Here is a 19,986-nt window from a genome sequence, read left to right on the forward strand (position 1 = left end):
ACACCATGCCAGCCAGGCCTTCTCTGACTGAGCACCCCCTTGTGGGCAGAGCCGAGCCTGAAATCTGGGGATGGGCAGTCCTGAGGGGGAAGCCACCTGCTTTACAGACACACATGTTCTTGTCCTCTCCCAGTCCCTCCATGTGTCTTCTCAACTGCAACCAGAGACAGACAGCCTCTAGAACAGGGAGTGCTCAGCCAGGCGCGATGGCTCACTCCCGTAATCCCAGCACTTTGGGAGGCCAAAACAGGTGTATCACCTGAGGTCAGGAGTTCGAAATCAGCCTGGCCAACATGGTGAAACCCTGTCTCTACTAAAAATACAAAAATTAGCCAGGCTTGGTGGCAGGCACCTGTAATCAAGGAGAATCGCTTGAGAGGCGGGAGGCGCAGGTTGCAGTGAGCCAAGATTGCACCATTGCACTCCAGGCTGGGCAACAAAAGCAAGACTCTGTCTCAAAAACAAAAACAAAAACAGGGAGCGCTCTTGGCCTTTGTGCTGGGGAAAAGAAGGCATGGAGAACTGAGTCTGCTGCTGGGAAGTGAGTAGATTGGAGGTGTCAGTCTGGGAAGGCTTCCTGAAGGAGGATGTCTCAGGCTAAGGAAAAGACAGCAAAGGCTTCAGAGCAGAAGAGTGTGTCTCCTCTGAGAGCCCAAAGCAATGTGGCTGGAGTCACAGATGACACCATCACTCCTTCTCTTCTGCTAGTCACAAGAATCTTGGTGTCCCAAGGAGCCCCCAGTGCACCACCACCATCCTTAACAATGCCCCTACCATTATGCATGTCCATTCCCACCCTTACCTCCCCTTGGAGGTGGAGATGGCACTTCCTCTGCCCAGGGCCAGACCTCCACCAGTGCTCTGATCCACACACCCCTCCCTTCACACACAGAACCTTGTCTCATCAAATAGTATCTCTCCCTTGCCATACTCCTCCCACCCCCATCCCAGGCTGAATTTTATTCCCCTCTACTTGTAGTCATGCTCATGTCACTTCTTCCTTTAAAAAAAGAAAGAAAGGGGCTGGGCACAGTGGCTCACGCCTGTAATCCCAGCACTTTGGGAGTCCGAGGTGTGTGGATCACCTGACGTCAGGAGTTCGAGACCAGCCTGGCTAACATAGTGAAACCCCATCTCTACTAAAAATACAAAAAATTAGCTGGGCGTGGTGGCAGGTGCCTGTAATCCTAGCTACTTAGGAGGCTGAAGCGAGAGAATCGCTTGACCCCGGGAGGTGGAGGTTGCAGTGAGACAAGATCGTGCCATTGCACTCCAGCCTGGGCAACAAGAGTGAAACTCCAACTCAAAAAACAAAAATAGAAAGGGAATCATCCTTGACCCATGTCCCACACCCACTACAGCCCTCTCTCCTTGCCTCTACAGCCAAGCTTCCCAAGAGGGGAGACCATACTCGTTGTCAATTTTTCACCTCCTCCTACATCCCCAACCCTAGCCACCATCCATGGAAATGGCTAAACTAATGATCAACTCCTAGCCAAATTTGATGGACTCTTTTCAAATCTTTTCTTCCCTGCATCCCTGGAATAGTGGATACCACTGACCACTCCTCCTTCCTTCCTTCCTTTCTTTTTTTTTTTTTTTTTTCCAGATTCTCACTCATTCGCCCAGGCTAGAGTGCAGCGGTATGATCTCGATCTCAGCTCACTGCAATCTCCACCTCCCAGGCTGAAGCCATTCTCTTGCCTCAACCTCCTGAGTAGCTGGGATTACAGGTGCCCACCACCACGCCCAGCTGATTTTTTTGTATTTTTAGTAGAGACAGGGTTTCACCATGTTGGCCAGGCTGGTCTTGAACTCCTGACCTCAGGTGATCTGCCCACCTCAGCCTCCCAAAGTGCTGGGATTATAGGCGTGAGCCACCTCGTCCAACCGCCTTTCTTAAAAGACAATTCCTTTGGCTTCCTGACATTGCCTTCTGCATTTCTTGCTATCTCTCTGGCCACTCCTTTCCAGTCTTCTTCCTTGAATCCTTTTTATCTATTCACCACTTACACCTGTAATCATTAATCTTCTTGGTGGTTCATGCTCCCCTTTGAGACTCTAATGCACAATCAGAGATTGCTAGCATCTCCCATGCAGCTGAAGGGGCACATGCATTTGTGAAAGCCACCCACAGAGGCCAGATTAAGAGCCTTGCTCTTGAGTGTTAGGATTCCCACCTCCCTGCCTCCACCTCTTCAGGCCAATTCCCATCCACTCTCAGGGATGATGAATCCCAGATCAACATCTCCAGACTCTCCTCGGAGCTACAGACCCAAGTTTCTAATTGCTGCCTGGATGTCCCACCTAAGCCTCAAACTCACAGCTTCCAAACTCAAGTCATTATCCAATGCCATCCTCCAGGCCTCACTTCCTCTCATAATTCCTCTCTGGTGGACATCACTGCCTCCAAAGCAAGAAGCCTGGAGTCAGCAAAAGTGCTGAGGATGGCACTAGAACCTCTCACAGGATTGCTATGTTAAATAATGTGATACATGTAAAGCACATAGAATGGTGCCTGATACATCATAGATGTTCAGTGTTATTATTGTTACTATTATTGCTGCTTCTTTCCCTTTACATCCAATTAGAAGCCAAGTCCTGCCAATTCTATCATTTTTTTTTTTTTTCTTGAGACAGAGCTTCGTTCTTGTTGCCCAGGCTGGAGTGCAATAGCACAATCTAGGCTCACTGCAACCTCTGCCTCCCAGGTTCAAGCGATTCTGCTGCCTCACCCTCCTGAGTAGCTGGGAAGCTGGGATTATAGGCATGTGCCATCACACCTAATTTTGTATTTTTAGTAGAGATGGGGTTTCTCCATGTTGGTCAGGCTGGTCTCGAACTCTCGACCTCAGGCGATCCACCCGCCTCAGCCTCCCAAAGTGCTGGCATTACAGGCATGAGCCACCACGCCCGGCCCCCAATTCTGTCTTCCAAACTTTCCTTTTTTTGTTGTTGTTCTTTTTTTCCTTTTTTTGAGACAAAGTCTTACTCCGTCACCCAGGCTGAAGTGCAGTGGCACAATCACAGCTCATTGTGCCCTAGACCTCCTGGGTTCAAGTGATCCTCCCACCTCAGCCTCCTGAGTAGCTGAGACTACAGGCATGCACCACCACACCTGGCTAATATTTTTATTTTTTGTAGAGACAGGGTCTTGCTCTGTTGCCAGGCTGGTCTTGAGCTCCTGGGCTCAAGCAATCCTCCCACCTTGGCCTCCCAAAGTGCTGGCATTACAGGCATGAACCTCTGTACCCAGCCCCTAAATTTCCTTTGAATCTACTTTCTTCCGTATATTTCCACTGATTCTCTCTTAGTTTGAGTCATTATTACTACTTATCTAGATGATTGCAGTAATCTCCACTCTTGTCTTTTCAAATCTTTCCAAGACATCTGGCTAGCATGTTCTTGTCAAACTGCAGTTTTGATCATGATGCTTCCCCACTTTTAGCTTCAGTGTCTCCCCCAGATTCTTTTTTTTTTTTTTGAGACAGAGTGTCGCTCTGTTGCCCAGGCTGCAGTGCAGTGGCATGATCTCGGCTCACTGCAAGCTCCGCCTCCCGGGTTCATGCCATTCTCCTGCCTCAGTCTCCCGAGTAGCTGGGACTACAGGCACCCGCCATCAAGCCTGGCTAATTTTTTGCATTTTTAGTAGAGACAGGGTTTCACTGTGTTAGCCAGGATGGTCTCAATCTCCTGACCTCGTGATCCTCCCGCCTCGGCCTCCCAAAGTACTGGGATTATAGGCGTGAGCCACCATGCCCGGCCAGTGTCTCCCCAGATTCTAAAATAGTTTCCCTTGGTTTTTGGTAATTTCCTAGGGAACTTGTTGTAGAGATCCAGCCCCAATCCCAGAGAGTATTATTCTGCAGGTCTGGGATGATATTGGGCACCTGCATTCATGACATGTTCCCAATCATAGCTGGTACAAAACAAAGTTGAAAACTAAGGCAGTGCAAACTCTTCAAGGTCTAACAAGGCTCTTCTTGACCTGGTCTTCACTAACCTTTCCCACTTTATCTCCCACCTCTTCCTTTCTCCACTACTCATTGGCTCCCCATATATATATATATATATATTTGAGACGGAGTTTCGCTCTTGTTGCCCAGGCTGGATTGCAGTGATGTGATCTTGGCTCACTGTAAACCCCGCCTTCCAGTTTCAAGCAATTCTCCTGCCTCAGCCTCCTGAGTAGCTGGGATTACAGGTGCCCGCCACCATGTCTGGCTAATTTTTGTAATTTTAGTAAAGATGGGGTTTCACCATGTTGGCCAGGCTGGTCTCAAACTCCTGACCTCAAGTGATCCATCTGCCTTGGCCTCCCAAAGTGCTGGGATTACAGGCATGCGCCACTGCGCTTGGCCATATGTTTATGTTTTGTAGAGACAGAGATTTGCCATGTTGCCCAGGCTGCTCTTGAACTCCTGGACTCAAGTAATCTGCCCGCCTCTGCTTCCCAAATTGTTGGGATTATAGGCACCTGGTAAATCATTCTTTTTTTTTTTTTTTTTTTGAGATGGAGTCTCACTCTGTCACCCAGGCTGGAGTGCAGTGGCACGATCTCAGCTCACTGCAACCTCCACCCTCTGGGTTCAAGTGCCTGCCTCAGCCTCCTGTGTAGCTGGGATTACAAGCGCCTGCAACCACACCTGGCTAATTTTTGTATTTTTAGTAGAGACAGGGTTTCACCATCTTGGCTAGGCTGGTCTTGAACTCCTGACCTCGTGATCCACCCACCTCTGCCTGCCAAAGTGCTGGGATTACAGGTGTGAGCCACCGCGCCTGGCAAATCATTCTTAATAGTGAAAGAATGATTACTTTGTCCACAAGATCAGGAACAAAGCAAAAACATTTGCTCTCCCCACTTCTTTGTGTTTGTTTTTTTCTTTCTGACCTCTTCCCTGTAGGTATGTTCTCATCACTTTTATTCAACATTGTACTGAACGTGCTAGCCAGTGCAATAAGTCAGGAAGAAGAAATAAAAGGCATACAGATGGGAAAAGAAGCAATAAAACTATCTTTATTCACAGATAAAATGATTATCTATTTAGAAAATCCCAGCCATGGGCAGTATGCACACCTGTACTCCCAGCTACTTGGGAGGCTAAGGCAGGAGGATCACTTGTGCCCAGGAGTTCAAGGCTTCAGTGAGCTATGATCACCAATGCACTCCAGTCTGGGCAGCAGAATGAGGCTGTGTCTATAATAAAAAAAAAACAAAAACAAAAAAATCCTGAAGAACCTACCTACAAAAAAGCTACTAGAACTAATAAGAGAATTTAGCAAGATTGCAGGATAAATGATAAGTGATCAATACACAAAATTACATTTTTTGTGTGTTTTTTGTTTTTGTTTTTATTTTAGAGATGAAGTCTTGCCCTGTCACCCAGGCTGGAGTGCAGTGGCGCGATCTCAGCTCACCGCAACCTCTGCCTCCCAGGTTCAAGGGATTCTCCTGCCTCAGCCTCCCAAGTAGCTGGGATTACAGGCACTCACCACCACGCCCAGCTAATTTTTTTGTATTTTCAGTAGAGACGGGGTTTCACCATGTTGGCCAGGCTGGTCTTGAACTCCTGACCTCAGGCAATCTGCCCACCTCAGCCTCCCAGAGTGCTGGGATTACAGGTGTAAGCCACCATGCCGGCCTCACAAAATTACGTTTCTATATACTGGCAATGAGAAATTGGAAATTCAAACTGAAAAAGCAGTATTATTTACAATCAGATTTAAAACATAAAATATCTTCCAATCAAACTAACAAAATATGTGCAAGATTTGTATGCTGAAAAGTATAAAACATTAATGAGAGAAATTAAAGATGTATATGAATGGAGAGATATATTAAGTTCATGGATTGGAAGACTCAATGTTGTTAAGATGCTAACTCACTTGGAATTGATCTGCAAGTTTAATGCCATCCCAATAAAAATCTCTAAGTTTTTATATAGAAACTAACAAACCGATTCTAATAATGTAGACAAAAAAGCAAAGGGCCTAGAATAACCAAAACAATTTTTTTTATTTTTTATTTTTTTATTTTTTTGAGACGGAGTTATGCTCTTTTTGCCCAGGCTGAAGCGCAATGGGACAGTCTCGGCTCACTGCAAACTCCGCCTCCCGGGTTCAAGCAATTCTCTTGCCTCAACCTCCTGAGTAGCTGGGATTACAGGTGCCCACGACCATGCCTGGCTGATTTTTGTATTTTTAGTAGAGACGGGGTTTCACCATGTTGGCCAGGCTGGTCTCAAACTCATGACCTCAGGTGATCTACCCATCTCAGCCTCCCAAAGTGCTAGGATTTTAGGCGTGAGCCACCTCGCCCAGGCTCAAAACAATTTTTAAAAAGAATAGCCGGGAACGGTGGCTCACGCCTGTAATCCCAGCACTTTGGGAGGCCGAGGCGGGTGGATCACAAGGTCAGGAGTTCAAGACCAGCCTGGCCAACATGGTGAAACCCGGTCTCTAACTCAAAATACAAAAATTAGCCGGGCATGGTGGCATGTGCCTGTAGTCCCAGCTGCTCGGGAGGCTGAGGCAGGAGAATTGCTTGAACCCAGGAGGCGGAGGTTGCAGTGAGTCGAGATTGTGCCACTGCACTCCAGCCTGGGTGACAGAGTGAAACTTCATCTCAGAAAAGGAAAAAAAATAAAAGAAAAGGAAGGAGAAGGAGAAGGAGAAGAAGCCGGGCACAGTGGTTTACGCCTCTAATCCCAGCACTTTGGGAGGATGAGGTGGGCGGATCACTTGAGGTCTGAGTTCAGAACCAGTCTGGCCAACATGGTGAAACCCTGTCTCTACTAAAAAATACAAAAAATAGCCAGGATGGTGGCACACACCTGTAGTCCCAGCTACTCGGAAGGTTGAGGCAGGAAAATCGCTTGAACCCAGTAGGCAGAGGTTGGAGTGAGCTGAGATCAAGCCATTGCACTCCAATCTGGTGACAGAGCCAGATTCTGTCTCAAAAATAATAATAAACCAAAAGAAAAATGAAAAGAATAAAGTTGGAGAACTCCCATTATCTGGTTTCAAGACTTGCCATAAAGCTGCAGTAATCAAGACAGTGAAGTATCAGCATAAAGATAGATACAGGCCAGGTGCGGTGGCTCACGCCTGTAATCCCAGCACTTTGGGAAGCCAAGGTAGGCAGATCACCTGAGGTCAGGAGTTCGAGACCAGCCTGATCAACATGGAGAAAACCCATCTCTACTAAAAATACAAAAATTAGCTGGGCATGGTGGCGTATGCCTGTAATCCCAGGTACTTGGGAGGCTGAGGCAGGAGAATCGCTTGAACCCGGGAGGCAGAGGTTGCAGTGAGCCGAGGTCGCACCATTGCACCCTAGCCTGGGCAACAAGAGTGAAACTCCGTCTCAAAAAAAAAAGGATAGATACATCTATGGAACATAATAGAGTCTGGAAGACCCCATCTCTACTCAAAATACAAATACTCCAGCATGGGAAACAAGAGCAAAACTTCATCTCAAAAGAAAAAAAAAAAATAGGCCTGGCGTGGTGGCTCATGCCCGTAATCCCAGCACTTTGGGAGGCCAAGGCAGATTGATCACCTGAGGTTAGGAGTTCGAGACCAGCCTGGCCAACACGGCAAAACCCTGTCTCTACTAAAAATACAAAAAATTAGCTGGGGGTGGCAGGTGCCTGTAATCCCAGCTACTCAGGTGACTGAGGCAGGAGAATCGCTTGAACCCAGGAGGCATAGGTTGCAATGAGTCGAGATCGTGCCATTGCACTCCAGCCTGGGTGACAGAGCAAGACTCTGTCTCAAAAAAAAAAAAAAAAAAAAAAAAAAAAAAAAGGCCGGGCACAGTGGCTCACACCTGTAATCCCAGCACTCTGGGAGGCCGAGGCGGGTGTATCACGAGGTCAGGAGATCAAGACCATCCTGGCTAACACAGTGAAATCCTGTCTCTACTTAAAAAAAAAAAAAAAGGAAAAGAAAAAGAAAAAGGAAAACCGTTCGTGACCTTGAGTTAGGCAAAGATCTCTGAAATAGAACACAAAAAATACAAACCATACAAAAAATTTCATAATTTTTTTTTTTTTTTAGAGACACATTCTTGTTCTGTCACCCAGGCTGGAGTACAGTGGTGTGATCATAGCTCCATATAACCTTCAACTCCTGGCCTCAAGCAATCCTCCTGCCTCTGCCTCCCAACAGCTGGAATTAACGGTGTGAACCACCGTGCCCAGCCCATAATGGAATTTTATCAAAATTAAAACTTCATCTCTTCTAACAACATTGTTAAGAAAATACAAAGATAAGCCACATATTGGGCAAAAATATTTGCAAAACACATTAACTCAAATGAATCATAGGCCAAAATGTGAAACAGAAAACCATAAAAATTCTAGATAAGGCTGGGCGAGGTGGCTAATGCCTATAATCCCAGCACTTTGGGAGGCCGAGGCAGGTGGATCACGAGGTCAGGAGTTCAAGACCAGCCTGGTGAACATGGTGAAACCCCGTCTGTACTCAAAATACAAAAATTAGCCGGGCATGGTGGCACACACCTGTAATCCCAGCTACTCGGGAGGCCGAGGCAGGAGAATGGCTTGAACCTGGGAGGCACAGGTTGCGGTGAGCTGAGATCATGCCACTGCACTCCAGCCTGGGAGATAGAGGAAGATTCCATCTAAAAAAAACAAAAAAAAAATTCTAAATAAAAACAGAAAATCTTTGTGACCTTGAGATAGGCAAAGATTTCTTGTGATCATAGCTCATGGCAGCCTGGATCTTCTGGGCTCAAGTAATCCCCCTGCCTCAGCCTCCCATGCCTGTAATCCCAGCACTTTTGAAGCTGAGACTACATGTGCACACCATCACACCAGACTATTATTTTATGTTTTGTAGAAAAGCGGTCTCACTATGTTGCGGAGCTAGATTTCTTCTGTTGTTTTTGTTGTTGTTGTTGTTGAGATGGAGTTTCACTCTTGTTGCCCAGGCTGGAGTGCAATGGCGCAATCTGCACTCACTGCAACCTCTGCCTCCCAGGTTCAAGCGATTCTCCTGCCTCAGCCTCCTGGGTAGCTGGGATTACAAGCATGGGCCACTATGCCCGGCTAATTTTTTTGTATTTTTAGTAGAGATGGGGTTTCTCCATTTTGGTCAGGCTGGTCTTGAACTCCCAACCTCAGGTGATCCGCCCGTCTTGGCCTCCCAAAGTGCTGGGATTACAGGTGTGAGGCACTGTGCCCAGCTGCTAGATTTCTTAAATACAGCATCAAAGCATAATCCATAAAATAAAAACTTGATAAACTGGGCTTTGTCACAATTAAGAACTTCTCTTCAAAAGACATTAAGAGAATGAAAAGATAGCCACAGACTGGGAGAAAATAGTTGCAAATTTCATGAAGAAGAACTTGAATCCAGACATATTTTCAAAACTCTCAACATTCAATAATAAAAAAGAGACAACCAAATTTTTTAAATGGGCAAAAGATCTGAACAGATATTTCATCAAAAAAGAGATACAGGCCGGGCATGGTGGCTCACACCTGTAATCGTAGCACTTTGGGAGGCTGAGGCGGGTGGACTGCCTGAGCTCAGGAGTTTGAGACCAACCTGGGCAACACCGTGAAACCCTGTCTCTACTGAAATACAAAAAACTAGCCTGGTGTGGCAGCATGCACCTGTAATCCCAGCCACTTGGGAGGCTGAGGCAGGAGAATTGCTAGAACTCGGGAGGCAGAGGTTGCAGTGAGCTGAGACTGTGCCACTGCACAATCCAGCCTGGGCAACAGAACAAGACTCGGTCTCTAAAAAAAAAAAAAGAGAGAGAGATACAGATGGGGCAGGGTGCAGTGGCTCAAGCGTGTAATCCCAGCACTTTGGGAGGCTGAGGCGGGAGTATTGCTTGAGCTCAGGAGTTTGAGACCAGCCTGGGCAACATGGCAAAACCCTGTCTCTACAAAATATACAAAAATTAGCCAGGCATGGTGGCATGTGACTATAATCCCAGCTACTCTGGAGGCTGAGGCTCAAGAATCACTTGAATCCGGGAGGCAAATGTTGCAGTGAACCAAGATCCCGCCACTGTACTCCAGCCTGGGTGAGGGAGTGAAACTCTGTCTCAAAAAAAAAAAAAAAGAAGAAGAAAACAGGCCGGGCATGGTGGTTCATGCCTGTAATCCCAGCACTTTGGAGGCCAAGGCAAGTGGATCACCTGAGGTCAGGAGTTTGAGACCAGCCTGGCCAACATGGTGAAACCCTGTCTCTACTAAAAATACAAAAAAATGTAGCCTGGCATGGTGGCACACACCTGTAGTCCCAGCTACTCGGGAGACTGAGGCAAGAGAATTGCTTAAGCCCAGGAGGCAGAGGCTGCAGTGAGCCGAGATCGTGCCATTGCACTCCAGCCTGGGCAAAAGAACAAAACTCCATCTCAAAAAAAAAAAAAAAAGTTGCCAAAAATAAAGAGATACAGATGGTAAATAAGCACATGAAAAGATGCCCAATATCATTAGTCATTAGGAAAATACACATTAAAACCACAAGATACCATTACACACCCACTAGAAAGCTATATATATATATATATATATATATATATATATATTTTTTTTTTTTTTTATATATAAGGTCTTGCTCTGTCGCCCAGGCTGGAGTGCAGGGCCATGACCTTAGCTCACTGCAACCTCTGCCTCCTGGGTTCAAGTGATTCTCGTGCCTTGGCCTCCCGAGTAGCTGGGATTACAAGCATGGACAATGCCCAGCTAATTTTTTGTATTTTTAGTAGAGCTGGGATTTTGCTGTGTTGCCCAGACTGGTGTTGAACTCCTGGCCTCAAGTGATCCGTTTGCCTCGGCCTCCCAAAGTGCTGTGATTACTAGTGTGAGACTCCACATCCAGCCTAACTTTTGTTTTTCCTTTTTAATAACAGGCCAAGCACAGTGGCTCAGGCATGTAATCCCAGCATTTTGGGGGGCCGAGGCAGAAGGATCACCTGAGCCCAATAGTTCGAGACAAGCCTGGGCAACAAAGGAAGACTCCCCTCTCTACAAAAGAATTTTTTTTTTTTTTGAGACGGAGTCTCGCTCTGTCGCCGAGGCTGGAGTGCAGTGGTGCGATCTCAGCTCACTGCAAGCTCTGCCTCCCAGGTTCACGCTGTTCTCTTGTGTCAGCCTCCCGAGGACCTGGGACTACAGGTGCCTGCCACCAGTCCCGGTTAATTTTTTGTGTTTTTAGTAGAGACGGGGTTTCACCGTGTTAACCAGGATTGTCTTGATCTCCTGACCTCATGATCCTCCCGCCTTGACCTCCCAAAGTGCTGGGCTTACAGGCGTGAGCCACCGCGCCTGGCCTACAAATGAATTTTTAAAACCAGCCAGGTTTAGTGGTATGGGCCTGTAGTCCTAGCTCCTGAGGAGGATGAGGCAGGAGTATCACTTGGGCACAGGAGTTCCAGGCTATAGTAAGCTATGACAGAACCACTATACTCCAACCTGGGTGACAGAGCAAGACCCTGTATCTTAAAAAAAAGTAAAATAAAAAATAAAAATAAAAAAAGGACAGACAGTACAGAGTGTTGGTGAGGATACAGAGCATCATGTTACTGGGGGCATGCAAAATGGTACAGCTACTTTGGCAGTTTCTTAGAAGAATAAACTTGGCCAGGCATGGTGGTTCACGCCTGTACTCCCAGCACTTTGGGAGACTGAGGCGGGCAGATCACTTGAGGTCAGGAGTTCGACACCAGCCTGGCCAACATGGTGAAACTGTCTCTAGTAAAAATAGAAAAATTAGCCTGGTGTGGTGGCACACGCCTTTAGTCCCAGCTACTTGGGAGGCTGAGACAGGAGAATCACTTGAACCTGGGAGGTGGAAGGTGCAGTGAGCTGAGATCACCCCTGTAATCCCAGCACTTTAAGGCTGAGGCAGGCAGATGACTTGAGCCCAGGAGTTTGAGACCGGCCTGGCCAACACGGCAAAACCCCGTCTCTACTAAAAAATACAAAAATTAGCCAGGCATGGTGGCGTATACCCGCGATTCCAGCTACTTAGGAGGCTGAAGTATGAGAATCACTTGAACCCTGGAAGCAGAGGTTGCAGTGAGCCAAAATCAGGCCATAGAACTCCAGCCTGAGTGACAGACGGGGAGACTCCCTCTCAAAAAAAAAAAAGAAAAAAAGGAAGAAAACATATATCCACACAAAGATAAACAGCTTTATTCATAATTGCTAAAAACTGGAGCTGAGCACTGTGCCTCATGCCTGTAATCCCAGCACTTTGGAAGACCAAGGTGGGAGGATCACTTGGGGTCAGGAGCTCAGGCCAGGAATTTAAGACCAGCCTGGGCAACATATTGAGACCCTCATCTCTACCAAAAAAAGTTAGAAAAAGTAAAGAAAAAAACTAAGAACAAAATAAATATTCATCTACTGGTGAATGGATAAACAAATTATGGTAACTCTATGCAATGGAATATTATGCTGCCATTAAAAGGAAGGATAAATACTGATACCCTGCAATAACATAGATGAATCACAGAAGCATCATGTTAAGTGAAAGACGCCAGAGACAAAAAGCTACACACCAGGCCAGGCGTGGTGGCTCATGCCTGTAATCCCAGCACTTTGGGAGGCCGAGGTGGATGGATTACCAAGCTCAGGTGTTTGACACCAGCCTGGCCAATGTGGTGAAACTCCATCTCTACTAAAAATATAAAAAATTAGCCGGACGTGGTAGCTCATGCTTGTAGTCCCAGCTACTCGGGAGGCTAAGGCAGGAGAATCGCTTGAACCTGGGAGGTGGAGGTTGCAGTGAACCAAGATCATGCCACTGCACTCCAGCCTGGGCGACAGAGCAAGACTCAGTCTCAAAAAAAAAAAAAAAAAAGAAAAGTAAAAAGCTACACAAAAAAGCTACACACTTTATAGTTTATTTTATACAACATTATGGAAAGGGAAAAGCTATGAGGACAGAGAACAGATCAGTGGTTACCATAGCTGGGGGTGTCGGGGAGGAGGTGTGGGGGTGAGCAATGAACTTGACTATAAAAGAACACAGTGGATTTTTTTTTTTTTTTTTTGAGACGAAGTCTCCCTCTGTGGCCCAGGCTGGAGTGCAGTTGCGCCATCTCAGCTCACTGCAACCTCCTCCTCCCAGGTTCAAGCAATTCTCTTGCCTCAGCCTCCTGAGTAGCTGGGACTACAGGCGCCCATCCCCATGCCCCGCTAATTTTTTTGTATTTTTAGTAGAGATGGGGTTTCACCATCTTGGCCAGGTTGGTCTTGAACTTCTGAACTCGTGATCCACCCGCCTCACCCTCCCAAAGTGCTGGGATTACAGGTGTGAGCCACCACACCCAGCCTGGAGCTTTTTGAAGGGATAAAAATTATGTATTTTGATTATGGTGGCATTTCCACAGCTGCATCCATTTGTCAAAACCCATCAAACTGTATACCTAAAAAGGGTGAATGCTACTGTAGGCAAATTGTGCATCAATACATTAATTTTTTTTTTTTTTTTGAGATGGAGTTTCACTCTTGTTGCCCAGGCTGGAGTGCAATGGCGCGATCTTGGCTCACCACAACCTCCGCCTCCTGGGTTCAAGCGAATCTCCTGCCTCAGCCTCCCGAGTAGCTGGGATTACAGGCATGTGCCACCACGCCCGTCTATAAATCTAAATGTTTTAAAACAAGAAAACCCACAGATGCAGGAAGATCATAGGCTCAGCCTTATATGTGAAAAGCTTAAGGTTTCCTTGAAACCTCCAATTAGGGATAATATCCACCAGCAGGAGATATGGTTCTGAGTCTCAGAGGAGGGGATTCTGGTGGATGCTATAAAAAGCCACGGTGCCAAGTGTTCTATCTGCGAAATCTTACCCTTAGCCCCCGGGCTCCTCTAGCAAGTTTTTGCTCTTTTTTTTTTTTTTTTTTTTTTTTTTTGAGACAGTGTTTCACTCTTGTTACCCAGGCTGGAGTGCAATGGCGTGATCTCAGCTCACCGCAACCTCCACCTCCTGGATTCAAGCAATTCTCCTACCTCAGCCTCCCGAGTAGCTGGAATTACAGGCATGTGCCACCACGCCCAGCTAATTTTGTATTTTTAGTAGAGACAGGGTTTCTCCATGTTGGTCAGGCTGGTCTCGAACTCCCAACCTCAGGTGATCCGCCCGCCTCAGCCTCCCAAAATACTGGGATTACAGGTGTGAGCCACCGTGCCTGGCTTTTTACTCACTTTTTGAAGCCCTGTCTGAGCATTCATTTGACCTCCGTGAAGTTCTCCATGACCCCAGTCCTTCAGCACGTAGAACGCAAGCTCCATGAAAGCAGCAACCTTGTGGCTTTTCTGTGCTGTATTCTCAGATCCTAGACCATGCTGGCATTAGGTGCCTTACAAAGCGTTAATGAATTAATGAATTCTTCCTTTCTCTGACAGTCCTCTGGAGCTTGTCATAGCACCAATCACACTGTATTTTGTTTGTCCAATGATCTGTTCCCTCTAATAATAATCTCCTTGATTATTATTGTCTAGTTGTATTTATCTTTGTATTCCCAGGTCACTATTGGTGGAAGTGAACTAAACCGACAGCCTTAAAGCTCCATGTTGATGATTCTTCCAGGAGGAGGAGGCACACTTAACAAGCACCTGCTCCGCCCCAGGCCCTATCATACATGCTTAATCTCTGCAACAAACCGATAAGGAAGCTGGAGATCAGAGAAGCTCGCCGACTTGGGCACCCAACTTAGGCACCCAACTTGACCAAGGTCACCTAGCAAGGAAACAAGCAGAGCTGGGATTCAAACTGAGATCTGTCCAACTCCAAAATCTTGTTTCTCCATCCTCTCTTTTCCCAAAGATTCTTAACCCCATGATTTTCAGTGCCTTCAGCACCCTGAAGTGACATCACCAGCTGCTCTGACCCCAGATTCTGATACTCTCTCTCACCTTCCCCATCTCACGCTCCTGTGCTTTCTCTGCAGCTTCCAACTGCCGTGCCACCTCAGTCCCGGGCTTCCTCCTTTTCCACTAAACTCTTCTGTTTGCCTTTGCTTCCCCACCCAAGGCCCAGCCCTTTCAGCCATGTTTTAAGGCTTCTTTGTCCCTGAGCTTCCACCTCTCCTGCCTTCTCATCCCTCAGTGAAGCCCACCATTTTTTCTCTCCCACCCCCAGGATACGCAGTGTTTCTTGTGTGGCTGGTCTCATCATGAAGCCATGTTGTGTAACTGCTGTTGGGATCTCAAGACCACTGACTCACCTTCTTATGCCTCATGGTTAGAACACAGAGTTCACCTAATGTGCCACGGTGTCCTCCTGCCTCTGCCACACGCTTCTGATTGGGGAGGAAGGAGCCTAGAGAGGTTACACACAACACATCCCAGCTCTGCCACCTACTAGGATATCACTTTTCAGGTTGCAGCTTAAATGTCACTCCACTCCCCCAGAATCTCAAGCAGGATTAGTGTTTACTGATTTGGGCTTCCATTGTTCCCTGGACTCACCCAGGCATAGCACCAACCACACTTTAGTGCTATTGCTTGTTTAATTACTGATCAGCTTTACTAAACTGTCTCATCCTAAGGCAACCGTCCATCAGTTCTGCGACCTAACAACCGCTTGGCCTCCCGATTTCTCCTGTCCGTCGCTGATAAACTGCTTGAAAGAAAAGTCTACATTTTGCCTCCACTTGGTCCTCTCTCTCCTCCCTCTCAGTCCACACCCCGGCTCCAGGCTCCATCGCTCTACTGAAAGTGCTCTTTTTGTCCTCAGCCTCCCTGATCCTTTTGTGCACCTGGCCCTGTGGGCCCCCCTTCCTTGAACCTCATTCTTCTTGGCTTTCATGACGTCCTCTCTCCTGGTCTCTTCCTGGGAACTTAGAGATCTAGGCCTTCTCCTCTTTCTCCTCTTCTCCCTCTGTCTCTTCCTCTTCTTCTTGCCTCAAGTCCCTCTGTGCTGACTCTGCTCCTTCTTTTCCCTGATCCTTTCCCTTAGGCCACCTCACCCACAACTGGGTTTCACCCAAATCCTTGAGGGGGATGCTCCAGGTGGGCCCGTTGCACGTGGCCGTGCAGGGTGTTCAGTGTACAGGCACACCCTGCCAGGAAACAAGGAAGAGGCTCCCTCTCTGCAATTTGTGTAAAGGCCCCGCAGGTTAGCTGTGACCCTGGCATCCATACCTCCTGCCCCATGCCTCTCCCAAGCTCCAGCCCTGCTCTCCTAGCTGCTCACAGGATAGTTCCCTAAACACTGCTGGCAGAACCTGCCCAGCCTAGGCCAGGAAAGAGGCTGACAGAGACAGAGCCGGCTGACTGGATGATCTGGAGATAGGTTCTTGGCCACTCTGTTCTTCCATTTCACCCCCCTTTTCAAAGACTCAGTCTTAGCCACCCTGCCCTGAGCCCATGTTAGATGGAAAAAAATAGTGGTGAGCAGGGAGCAGAAGGCTGGAGAGTAGTAAGTGCAAAAGAACAAGGGGGCTGGGAAGAAAAGGAGCAAATGGGGCAAAGCAGACAGGAGGGGAGGTCAGCTGGCTTCTCAGCTGCCAAAGCTCTTCCAGGCACGTCATCTCATTTGGTCCTCATGAAAACTCTCTAAGTGGATATTACTATTTTTCTCATTCTACAGCTGAGGAGAGACCAAGCTAGTAAAGGCTGCTCAAGATCACTAAGCCAGCAGTGGGGAATATTGTGAAATATTGAAATATTTTATTATTTCATAGAGACAGGGTCTTGTTATACTGCCCAGGCTGGTCTCAAATTCCTGGCCATAAGCGATTCTCCCACCTCAACCTCTCAAAGTGCTGGGATTACAGGCATGAGCCACCTGGCCGAATCCAGGTCTTTTGACACCAAGTGCCCTATTCATCCCTTTGCCCTCCCCTAATCTCTGGGCAGATTTGAGTGAGGCGATAGGCTGGGGGATATGGCATTGGGATACTGGGGTTGCACCTGAGGAGAAGCCAACAGCACCAGGGTCAGAATGGGCAAAGGACATAAGCACAGGCAAGGCCATTCCTGGTGGGGCTGGGCCAGGGAGCTGAGGGGCTCCTAGAAGGGCCAGGTTCCCCGACTTCTCTGAGCTTCAGCGCCTGGAGGTTTCTGGGCAGCCACACGCTTCTCAGCGCTGACCCTTCCTCTTCCTTTATCCTTGGAAAATAACCCCTAGGGCACAAACCCAACCGAAGCAATGATACTAAGTGTCAGGGCATTCCTCGACTCTCCCACCCCTGGGGAAGAGGGCCTGGCCCAAGCCCTGAGAACCCGTTCCCACCTCCACAGGCAGTGCCAGGGACTCCAAATAGGGTGCTGAAATTCCAGAAGTCTTGATATCAGACTGGGTCCTGCACCCAGCTGCCACCCGCATCCTCCCCCTGCTCCGCAGCTGCCTCTGAAGCTTGTACCCTTGCCCCCACCTCTTGTCTCTCTGCAGTCTACCTGACTGCACTTTCTGATGACCCCCACTGACCTCTCCTAGCACCCCATGTTTATTAATTACTTAAACCTAAAGTATTTACGGAGCTCCACCTATGTGCCAGATGCAGGGCTGGGCAGGAGGATTCCCATTCCACCCCAGATTCCTTTTCCTTTGGGTTCTACCCCAGATCTCCCTCTGTCTCAACAGCTCTACCCTTAACTCAGCAGCCCTGGGATTTCTCCTGTGGGAGGGCCCCCTGCATGGGTATACCCTCCACTGAGAGTAGCTGAAAGGAGCCCAGGGGAGCCTCCCAGGCGATCCCTTCCTCCCTCCAGCCCACCCCACCACAGGGCCTTCTCACTGTCTCCAACACACTGGAGTCACCCTCAGTCTTTAAAGAAGAGGATGGGAATCAGTCTCTCCCTGTTTTGTGTATAGACCCCATCCTTACACCTCAGTTGCTGTTCCGAACACCTCCCTCCTCCAGGCTGAGCAAGGAATTTCCAGCCTAAATGTTAAAGCAAAGGCGGAAGGACTGCAGGCCTTCCAATCCTCCCTAATCCTCTCATCTCTCCACCACCTAGTTTCCCCAGAGCCATCAGCTCAAGCCCTTTGTGGGAGAATGTGGAGTGGGCAGTAAGAGCTGACCCACCCCTATCGGGTCATCTCTGAGTCTACTCTGAAGTTAAACCTGCCTCACAGGTTCCCACTCCCCTTCTGCTGGACGCTGGAATGCAGGACTGATGGTGGGTGGAGAACCATTTCCCCTCTTTCCGGATTCCCCCCTGCCGAGGCTCATTACTCTTTGTGTCTGTTCTGGGAGCTTCTCACCAGGGCCCCTCCTGCTCCACCCTTTCCCGGGACTGTCCTCACAATCACGCCATCCCCCTTTCCACCTTGCTTCCCACCCCCACCCCAGAACCCTAGTGCTGGGAATCTGGAGGCCGAGACCTTCACCCCAGCTCTCCAAGAGGCTCTCTGACAAAGTGAAAAAGCCCTGAGCCACAGAGGAATCTGGAAGTGGTGGAAAGGGGCAGGCTGGTGCTGGAAGCCCGAGGTCGGTATTTGCCCCATGCTGCAAGAAGTCAGGAATGTGGCCATCGACATCAGTAGGAGAGATAAAGTCTAGCTGGCAGCTCTCCCTCTCCAGCCCCCACGCTGCACCTCCACAGGTCCCAGAAGTTTCCTAGCAGTTGGGGTGGGGCAGGAATCAGACAAGGACCTGGGAATTAGCTTGGAGAAAAATTCTAGAATCTGTTTTGATTGCTGGTAGATTTCAAAGTGCCCCAGGGTTTTTAAATGACTCAGAGAGACAGACTTCAAACCCCTTGAGCCCGTCTTTCGAATTAAATTGACCCCCTTTATCTGCCCTCCTGTATATATTGAAGCCTTCCTTACTTTGAAGGAAGGCTCCAGTACAAATAATTAGTATTTGTTTGATGAATGAGTGAGTGACAATTTACACTCACATTCACTGCCACCTGAGGAAATAGACTGGACAGGTCTTACTGTTTTCCCTGTACAAGTGAAGAAATTGAAGTTCAGAGTTAGGTGACTTCCCCAAGGTTACACAGCTAGCAAAGTATCCAGGCTGGCTGACTTAAAGCTTAGCAATAACAGTAAAAGGCAGTACGTAGCTTGTTGACTCCACATACTTTATTATAAAATACTGCCCAACTTGACAGTTCTGGAATCCAGTGGGGGAATATAAAGGTGAAAGCAGGAGAGACCCCTCTGACTGGAACCTCTTACCTCCCAGAAGCCTTGTATGCAAAACCAGTGGGCATTCATTTGTATGTTATTTTGCATCCCGTTTGCCTCCCAGCCTTCAGCAGGCCCCGACCCTCCCCTGGCCAGCTTCCACCCTGACTGCCCCCTGGCTGGCTCCCATTGAGCACTGTGGGGCTCTCCCCACCATTAGGTGACAGATCAGGAACAATCCAGGCTCAGGCTCTTTATCTGTGCTCTGCCTCCCACCTGGCAGGTCCACTGGCCAGGCTTTTCCAGGGTCCCTTCTCTCCCAGGTCTGCCCTACTATTTGTCCTCCCCTTCCCCCTCAGCTGGTAGCTCGATAAGAATCAATAGGTCCACTCCAGAGCAAAGAACACAGCCAAATGTGTCATACCAGGCCCTGCCAGAAAAACGAGCTGCTGGAGCTGACAAACTTGAAGGCCAAACACCTAAGGGTTCCCCCCAACACTTCATTCAGCAGGGATGGTCATTCAGCTTCAGGGGGCAGGCAGCATGAAAGCCTCCCTACCTCCATCCTTCTCACACAGAGGCTGGGGAGAGCATCTTGGAGGATGCAGTCCCCTGGGGCCAGGCTTCTAATCCAGACAGCCCTTACAAGGGGGGACAGGGGAAGGACTGGCTTGGAGAAAAGTCCTAGAAAAGAGGGGAGGGGCACTGGCCACCAGGGCTGGGTCGCTGCTATGATGGTCCTAGGAGTGCCTGCCTGTCCTCTCAGGCCCCATGCGATGTAGGACACATTACTTTTATTTATTTATTTATTTATTTATTTTGAGTCAGAGTTTCGCTCTGGTTGCCCAGGCTGGAGCGCGACGGCACGATCTTGGCTCACTGCAACCTCTGCCTCCTGGGTTCAAGCGATT

General features: G+C 48.3%; 1 protein-coding gene across 2 annotated transcripts in view, besides 3 other annotated features; it reads right to left on the bottom strand.

Annotated features, from left to right (window-relative positions):
• KRT8 (keratin 8) overlaps positions 1–19,986 on the bottom strand; it is a 52,670-nt gene that overhangs the window by 30,411 nt on the left and 2,273 nt on the right. The window lies entirely within an intron of this gene.
• Positions 16,154–16,748: an enhancer, noted in NCBI's record as "H3K27ac-H3K4me1 hESC enhancer chr12:53337539-53338133 (GRCh37/hg19 assembly coordinates)". NCBI's record gives its function as "activates a minimal SCP1, AML or CMV promoter by ChIP-STARR-seq in naive H9 embryonic stem cells {active_cell/tissue: H9 hESC(naive)}" and the evidence as "EXISTENCE:reporter gene assay evidence [ECO:0000049][PMID:30033119]".
• Positions 17,938–18,533: an enhancer, noted in NCBI's record as "OCT4-NANOG-H3K27ac hESC enhancer chr12:53339323-53339918 (GRCh37/hg19 assembly coordinates)". NCBI's record gives its function as "activates a minimal SCP1, AML or CMV promoter by ChIP-STARR-seq in primed H9 embryonic stem cells {active_cell/tissue: H9 hESC(primed)}" and the evidence as "EXISTENCE:reporter gene assay evidence [ECO:0000049][PMID:30033119]".
• Positions 19,484–19,778: a silencer, noted in NCBI's record as "tiled region #15494; HepG2 Repressive non-DNase unmatched - State 1:Tss". NCBI's record gives its function as "represses a minimal TATA promoter and a strong SV40 promoter by Sharpr-MPRA in HepG2 cells {active_cell/tissue: HepG2}" and the evidence as "EXISTENCE:reporter gene assay evidence [ECO:0000049][PMID:27701403]".

Source organism: Homo sapiens, chromosome 12 (assembly GCF_000001405.40).
Source record: "Homo sapiens chromosome 12, GRCh38.p14 Primary Assembly".
Taxonomy (NCBI): Eukaryota; Metazoa; Chordata; class Mammalia; order Primates; family Hominidae; genus Homo; species Homo sapiens.